General features: G+C 41.2%; 1 annotated feature.

Annotated features, from left to right (window-relative positions):
* Positions 1,664 to 2,863: an enhancer, noted in NCBI's record as "MED14-independent group 3 enhancer chr16:64567687-64568886 (GRCh37/hg19 assembly coordinates)". NCBI's record gives its function as "activates an origin of replication core promoter dependent on BRD2, BRD4, P300/CBP and CDK7 cofactors, and independent of MED14, by STARR-seq in HCT116 cells {active_cell/tissue: HCT116}" and the evidence as "EXISTENCE:reporter gene assay evidence [ECO:0000049][PMID:35650434]".

The following is a 9,097-nucleotide window of genomic DNA, read 5'->3' on the forward strand; positions in this document are numbered from 1 at the left end:
TTTACTATTAACCTGTCTTCTCCCTGGTACACTGTAGTTATTGGAAGTTATACAAATATTTTAAAAAACGGAAGAACCTCTCACATAGGTATTATATAAGAAAGATTCATTTTGGAGATCTGCTTTCAATAGGGCAGAATGTAATGTTTGCAAACCAAAGTGAAACTGTTTGCTACACTGCATTTCCTTTTTGAGCCCATGCTTGAACCAGCAAGACTCGCTTATGAGCCCTAATCACTGTGGGTGGAGAGCAGAGTGGCTGCATTCTGCCATTGATTAGAATGAGATTCAATTATCAAATGAAGGTTTATTAAAGCATGTGTTTTTTTCACTAGCCTCTTCTCACTACCAGGCAATTCCCCTTCCACAAGAAACACCGCCTCTGGCAGCATTACAGACAATGTTAACTTTTTATGTGCGTGGGGGCTGAACACAATTTCTAGCCAGTATGTGAAAAGTCTGGAAGAAAAACACTCCTTTATAAAAGGAAATGAGTTTTAAGATGGAAGAATGAGATTTCAGTGTGACAGGGGTACAATTTCTTGCCTTGAATAAAGGAACAGAGCACCAATTCCTTCAGAGTTGCAGGTGACCCCAATTCGGATGGAGGATACAAAAGTAATGGCCTTCCTCCACCGTGGAATGGACCCTTCATTTTGAAACCAGGCTGGTGTGCTGATTAGTTCTGCTAAGTGACTCTGAAGAGACCCATTTGTTTAGCACTACATGTAATTTTAAAGGAAAGGACGTGTCAGCAGCAGGGAGGAGAGTCAAATGAGGTCACTCGTGAAATAGCAGGAGAAATCCGCGGGTGCCTCTGCCTTGTTTTATTCTACTCCATCACCACTGACCTCTGCTCCTGAAGACTGATGCACCAGCTAAATGGAACCTTCATTTTCTCATTCCACGAATGACCAGGCCGGCTCCTCAATGCCCTCAGAAACAGATCTTCGTTTCTCTATTGCTGGGGACACCACACTTAACCCTTAATGGCATAAGGCAGTTTTCACCTGCAGAGTCTCCGTCGGTACATGCTGATTCCCTCATGGAAGCTCCGTCTGTTCAAAATTCACATCTCCATTATTATTTTGCTCTCTGTGCATGGTAGGATAAAGTGCATGCCACTCTTGTAGAAATGGTAGAATATCCTAAGCTGACACTTTTGAGGTCCTAAACCTGACAAGCCAAGAAAGTAACTGAGCACACTGACATTTTACAGATTTCTCTCAAACTTAAATTGGTTTTTGACCTTAAAATCAGGTCATAACCTGTCCTGTTTCAAACCAAGCCAATTGAATCAGATGTCATGTAAAAACAGCAATGTAATACATGTTGCATTCTTGACTCTGATACTAACTTTTTTGTGTAAGAAGAGAAAAAATAATCATAATAACAAAAGAAACTCCAAATGGAGAACCACATTGTTTCCTTCTCCACAGTTCTGGTATATTGAAAATGTACCAGTGTCACGGTCATGATCATCTTAATTAGAAGTTTCTGGTATGAGTTTTCCTCCCACCAATTTAATAACCTGTGGCCAAAGACCTTTCCTTATTCATCTCCATTTTCCCAGGGTTGTAGCAGAAGGTTAGTGTGTGGCAAGCACTCCAAAGTTTGAGCTGAATACATACGTATTAAACAGAATATGAGTTTTCAGATTATAAACACACAAATTAAATAGGAAACTGAAGCTACCACTCACATATTTTTCTCTACGTGCTATAACCTTATATTTTTCTGTATAAAACTCTGATCTTTTTTCCCCGTCTGTTATTTACTGCTTCTGGTTATCAGCCTGTGGAGCACTTCTTTGTGGAGGTTATGATGGGTCTCACTGATTCTGGCACTTCTGAGCCACTTAAAAGGGGTTGAGAAATGTAAGTTGTGTGTGGGTCAGAGGGTGGGTAGGTCGGTGGGTGTGTAGGTTCTTTTTAGTTCTCTGTTTTTCTCAGGGAACATTAACCAGAAACAAATATGGGGATTCACAATTAAGTTTTTTATTTCCTTCCTTGTGGCATTCAATCTGTGTTTCAGCATTTGCTGGGCCATGTGGCTTTCATAAATAAATCGTCAAGGATTTGAGAATGGAAATATCCCCAAGATGAGGACTGCCTATGTAAATTCTGTGCATATAAAGGCCACCTTTGTGGAAGGAAAAATAGGCACATAGAGAAGATCCCGGTGTGTAAGATGCCATGGGTAAGAGTCAAATCCAGCATCAGTGACTCAGCAAGTTTAGCAAAATCACTTTGGGCCTCGCTTTCTTTATCTATACAAACGGAGATAATACTTGCTTTGGTAAAAGGATTTGCATGTGTGTGAATTTGTTTTTAGTGGGCTGTAGGTCACAGGGTGGTAAATCTCACCTTGGGGTATGGTTTGCCCCACCTCCCATGGAATGTCCATTCACATTCTAATCTTCCTGGAGTGGTTTATGGAACATTTTCTTTTTCTTGGAGTTGCTCTTGGCTGCCAGCAGCCTCTTCAGGTCCACTGCTGACTGGCGCCTCTTCGGAAGAGAATTTGCTCTTCCTGGGAGATACTCCTGTTGTTTGCCTCTTTGGGATCCCTACCTATTTCTTCCTTGGGTGAAGATTTCTTCTTCCTGGGAAGAACTGTGCTGCCAGTGGCCTCTTCAAGATCACTGCAGATATGATTTGGCTGTGTCCCCACCCAAATCTCTACTCAAATTGTAAACCCTATATTCCCCACATGTCTAGGGAAAGACCTATTTGGAGGTGATTGGATCATGAGCTGGTTTACCCCGTGCTGTTCCTGTGATAGTGAGTGAGTTCTCATGAGATCTGAGATCTGATGGTTTTATAAGAGACCCTTCCCCCTTTGCTGCTCACTCCTCTCTCTCTCCTGCAGACTTGTGAGAAGATCCAAATTTGCTTTGCCTTTGCCTTCCACCATGACTGTAAGTTGCCTGAGTCCTCCCTGGCCATATGGACCTGTGAGTCAATTAAACCTCTTTCCTTTATAAATTATCCAGCTCAGGTATTTCTTTATAGCAGCATGAAAGCAGACTAATACAGCTACTGTCCAAATCCTCCTTAGAAAAATGTGTTTTTTTCTTGGATTTGGAGAAAAAAGTAGATAAGTCTTCCATTCCATTCTCCCAAGGAGCCTCCTGAGGCTTTTTCTTTTTTCTTCTTTTTGGGTTTTTCACTTGTCTCCTGAACCACTGCTTCCTTCATGACATCCTGATTGTTTCATGGAATCTGGATTCCACAAAATTAAATGTTACAATGCCAATGTACTCATTTATCATTTCTTTCAGTATTGTCAGCATTTAGAATACTCCAAGCTTTTTGTGAGTCAAAGAAGTAGTGGCATGGAAAAGCAAACCTGGGACCTACTCCTGTGTAGTTTATGGTTTAGTTGAAAAAAAAAAATATATATATATATATATATGTATGTATCAATCAACTATTGTATAATGACAATCAGAATACATGTTTGGGAGAATGAAAATAGATATTATGGAAACACAGACTGCTCTTATAGAAAAGTCTAAGGAGGCTGACCTGAAAGAGATAACACAGCAGGTCCCCTTTCCCTAAGCTAAGGTGAGGTGTGCAAAATGAATGGACACTTTCCAGATGGATGAGGAGTAGGGAAAGTGCTTCAATCAAAAAGGCCAGCAAGAGTGAAGGCCCCAGCATGGCAGCATGTGGTGGAGGTTGAGAAAATAAATGGGCAATATGGCAGTCAGGTATCAATGGAGGGTGGATGGTTGCCAGGCACAGGCCAGCCCTCGTAGGCTTTGTAGACCATGTTAAGTATTTTAGTCTTTATATCAAGACTGTATAGCAAACTGCTCACTGCCTTTCAAATGCCCTGGCATTATGTTTCTCAGTTCTAAATGGAAACAGAAATGTGTTTCTTCAGTCGTATTTATGTGATTGTTTCAGTCCAACTGAATGATCTACAGCCCAGCCTTTCCATTCTGAGCACTAGTCTTGAAGGAAATTATTGGTGTAACATTTCAAGGCAGAGTGTTCCTGGTCTTTTAGAATCCCAGAATTGGAAAGGTTGTGCACCATCCTCTTCCAAGCGTCCTGTGACTGGCTGGAATGTGCTGAGCACAAGAGGACCATACTCTCATACAGATTTCCTGGGTCCAGATCTTCTTCCTCTGCCGTTTGGTTTCTTCTCCCCTACTATTCTCTGTCTCATCCTCTTTCTGGGAATCCCCACAACATTAAATTGAAAGATCAACCGTAGATCTATTTTATCATTTCTCTATTATGGATAGAAAAGACTGATACATAAGACAAATAGGACACATGAACAAATGAAAGCATAAAGAGGGATTGGGGAAATGAAAATAGAAAGTTGGGCACCAGAAGAATTGACCTTTCAAAATCCTAAACCTACTTAGCTAGCACATCTAAAGAGTTCTATCATTTTAACATTTTTAAGAATGTCCCCTCCTCCCATCTTCACTGCTATTACCCTTGATCAGACTCTCATAATTCTCCCAACAATCTCTGTTGTAGAACTTTGGCCTTGTGTCGATCAAGCTAACCCATATTCCTTATGCTGTCAGTTTATTCTTTCTGCAATACAAAACGGATCCTGTCCCTCCCCTGCCTAACACTCTTTGATAGCTACCTTATAAAATGTGTTGCGTTCAATACATCGATTTATGCTGGTAGATCTGCACAATGAGAGGCTCTAATGGATTACATTATGTGGTGTGGAAGAGCCAGGCATTTCCAGTGCAGTGGTGACTCTGACCTTCATACCTTCTTCTTTTCTTTTCTTTTCTTTTTTTTTTTTTTTTTTGAGAGAGAGTTTCGCTGTTGTTGCCCAGGCTGGAGTGCAATGGCACGATCTCGGCTCACCACCACCTCTGCCTCCTGGGTTCAGGGCATGCGCCACCATGCCCAGCTAATTTTGTATTTTTAGTAGAGATGGGATTTATCCATGTCGGTAAGGCTGGCCTCGAACTCCCGACCTCAGGTGATCTGCCTGCCTTGGCCTCCCAAAGTGCTGGGATTACAGGCCTGAGCCACCACACCCGGCCCCTTTCGTACCTTCTTATGTCCAAACAGCAGTGGACTGCGGCATTGTGTTGGAGCTCACAGGAGTATATTCTATCTTAATGAAGATGATTAACCCTGGAATTGTGCTAAGCACTTAACGTGCAATATTTTATTCTGTTTTCATAACGATGCTTTGAAACATGTGGTGTTATTATCCTGTCAATGAAAAGAGTCAAACTCTAAAATATTTGAAGAGATTTATTCTGAGCCAAGTATGAGTGACCATGGCTCATGACAGAGACCTCAGGAGATCCTGAGAACATGTGCCTGCGGTGGTTAGAGCACAGCCTGGTTTTATGCAATTTTGGAAGACATAAGACGTTAATGAAATGCATTTAAGATGTACAACTGGCTTGATTCAGAAAGGAGGGACAACTCAAAATGGCAGCTTTCAGGCTATAGGTAAATTTTAAAAATTTCTAGTTGACAATTTGTTGAGTTGTCTAAGGACCTGGGATCAATAGAAAGAAAATGTATGGGGTAAGATAAAGGATTGTGGAGTCCAAAGTTTTATTGTGAAGAGGAAAGCTTTTAGCTAGCAGGCTTCAGAGAGAATAGATTATAAAAGGTTTTCTTATTGGACTTAAAAAAGGTGCCTGACTCTTAGGTGATTATCTCCTGAATATGGAAAGAAAAAAAAGGGGAAAAGGGATTCTTTACAGAATGTAGATTTTTTCCCACAAGAGACAACTTTGCAGGGCGATTTCAAGATATGACAAGGAAATATATTTGAGGTTAAATATTTTGATTTCTTTCTTTATTTGTTATGTGATGCTATACAAGGGTCAGGTTGGAAAACAGGCCACATTATATAGGGTCAAATAGACCCCTCTGATGAGACTTTGTGGTTTGTAGGACATGGCCCCTCAAACCCCTTAGGTAGGAATTTGAGCAAGAAAAAAAAAAGTCAGACTTTAGTCCTCAATCCTTACTTTACAGATACAGAAACTGAGGTTCAGGTATTACTAAACTTCCCAGGGTCACACCGCTAGTAAGGGACACAGTCTTAATTTAAATACAGACAGACAATCTCCAGAACATACACGGTTAACCACTGTTCCATGTCCTAATCATTTCTATTTTTTTTTTACTTGTAGACAAAGGTTAATTGCTAAAATCAAACTGGAGGTCGTAAGCCATATAATCAAATATGATTATACCACTTCACAGAAATTATCCCTAGTTTTACTGACTGCAAAATTATTTGACTTGAAATAAGTTGGTAATATGGTTTGAATGTGTCCTCAAGTTTATGTGTTAGAACCTTAATTCCTGAAGCAACAGTGTTGAGAGTTGGGGCCTTTAACAGATAATCATAAGCGTTCTTACCTCCACAAATGAATTAACATTGCTGTTGGATCAGATTAGTTATTGTAGCAGTGGGTTCCTGAATAAAAATATTGAATTTTACCCCCTTTCTGGCTCTCTCTGGAGGACTCTTTTGCCATGTGATGCCTTCTTCCATGTTATGATGAAGCCAGATGAGGCCCCATTATCTTGGACTTTCCAGCCTCCAGAACTTTGAGCTGAATAGAGCTGTATTTATTATAAATGACACAATCTGTGGTAGTCTTATAACAATACAAAATTGATTAAGACAGAAAATTGCTATTGAGACATAGGGCTGTTACTGTAAACAATTCTTGAATATATGGAAACAGCTTTGAAACTAGGTAATAGGGGCTGGAAGAATTTGGAGCAGTAGGCTAGAAAAAGCCTATATTGCCACAAATGGAACATTAAAGGCATTTTCTGGTAAAGGCCTATGCGAAGACAGGAGCTGTAGGGAGACCCTAAATCTTAGGGATTAGTTATGTGGTTGTAATCAGAATGTTGGTAAAAATATGGAATGTAAAAAAAAAAAAAAATTCTGATGATGTGTCCATGAGGGCATGGACAAAATTCTGAATTATGCCCATTATATTCCTTTAGGAATGTCTTATTGGAAATTGGAGTTAAAAACTATCCTTGTCATAAAGGGCAAAAATCTTGGCTGAATTGTTTCCATGCTGTTGGGCTTACAGAAGGTAGAGTTTAAGAACAATGAACTAGGAAATATGGCAGAAGAAATACCTAAAGAGAAAAGCATTCAAATTGCTGCATGGTTACTTTTGGCCACTTACAATAAAGTGAGAGAAGAGAGAAATTATTTAAAGATGAAATTTAAAATAAAAAATGAAGCAGAGTGGAAGGATTTTAAAAATCTGAGCCGAGCCATGTAAAAAATGAAAAAAAAAAAAAAAAAAAAAAAAAAAGTCCGGGTGTGGTGGCTCACGCCTGTAATCCCAACACTTTGGGATGCCAAGGTGGGAGGATCACGAGGTCAAGAGATTGAGACCATCCTGGCCAACATGGTGAAACCCTGTCTCTATTAAAAATACAAAAATTAGCTGGGCATGGTGGCATGCATCTGTAGTGCCAGCTACTCAGGAGACTGAAGCAGGAGAATCCCTTGAATCCGGGAGGCGGAGGGTGCAGTGAGCCAAGATTGAGCCACTGCACTCCAGCCTGGTGACAGAGCAAGACTCCGTCTCAAAAGGAAAAATAAATAAATAAATAATGTTCTGGGGAGAATACTAAGTATGAGGCCAAGTGGCTACTTGCTAAATAGATTAATAGGGATAGAAGGAAGCCAAGTTTTACTCATCAAGACAATGAGAGAATGATCCCAAAGGCACTTCAGAGATCTAAAGACAAGCTGGGACCCTGAGGGAAAGGTTTCCAGAGAGACACCTGTGGGACCTCAGCATCACGATGCCCATAGCCTCAGGACTCTGCTGCACACATCTAGGCACAGCACTCCTTGGCTGCCCCAGATATGGCTCAAGTGAGCTCAGCTGCAGCTCCTGCCCAGCTCCAGAAGTTGCACGTTAAACCTTGGCAACATCCTCCTGGGGCTGACTCTGCAGACGCATAGATTACAGGAGCTGTGGAGTCAAGAAAACCTCCACCTAGATTTCAAAGGATATATCAGACAGCCTGAGGGCCCAAGCAGATGCTTGTCATGGGGCGGAGTCACCACAGAGCACCCTCACTAGGGAAATGCATAGTGGAGTAGTGGGAGTTGGGTAGTCCTGAAGACCACAGAACTGTAGAGCTACCAGCATGCAACTCCAGCCTGGAAAAGCTGCAGGTGGGAGACTCCAAGCAGTGAGAGCTGCTGGGTGGCCTGAGTCCAGCAAAGTCTTAGGGGCAGGTCTGCCTGAGCCCTTGGGGGCTCAATTCTCACCTCAGTGTACTTAGGATGCAGAACATAGAGTTGAGGGAGATTATTCTCCAGCTTAGAACTTGTTTTCCCTGTTTGGTTTTAGACTTATTCAGGACCAGCTACCTCTTTCTTTCTGCCTACTTCTCCTTTTGGAATGAGAATGTCTATCCTGTGCCTGTTCCACCATTGTATTTTGGACACACCTAACTTGTTAATTTCACAGTCTTAAAGAAATTAGCAACGGGATGAATCATGCCTTGAGTCTCACACATGTCTGATTCAGATGAGACTGTGGACTTTGGACTTCTGAGGTGGTGTTGGAGTGAGTTAAGACTTTGGGACTTTTGGAGTAAAATGAATGCACTTTGCATGTGAAAAGAACATAAATTTTAGGAGTCAGGAGCAGAATGCTATGACTTGAACGTTTTCCCCAAGGTTTACGTTTTGGAAACTCAACCCCCAATGCAACAGTGTTGAGAGGTGGAACCTTTAAGAGGTGATTAGGTTACAAGGGCTCTACCCTCATGAAGGGATTAATTCTATTATTGCTGGAGTGGGTTAGTTATAAAGAAAGTGGGTCCCTGATAAAAAGGTTGCGTTTGATTCCCCTGGTTTCTCTCTCATGCACCTTTGCCAGGTGATATGCCTTCTGCCGTGTTATGGCACAGCAAGAAGTCCCTCAGCAGATGCAGCCCTTCAGCCTTGAACTTCCCAGCCTCCAGATCTGTGAGGCAAATAAATTTCTGTTCATTAAAAATTACCTAGCTTTAGTTATTCTGTTATGGTAGCAGAAAACAAACTAAGACATTTGGCTATTACTAGATCCTTGACAACT

This window comes from Homo sapiens, chromosome 16 (assembly GCF_000001405.40).
Source record: "Homo sapiens chromosome 16, GRCh38.p14 Primary Assembly".
In the NCBI taxonomy this organism is placed as follows: Eukaryota; Metazoa; Chordata; class Mammalia; order Primates; family Hominidae; genus Homo; species Homo sapiens.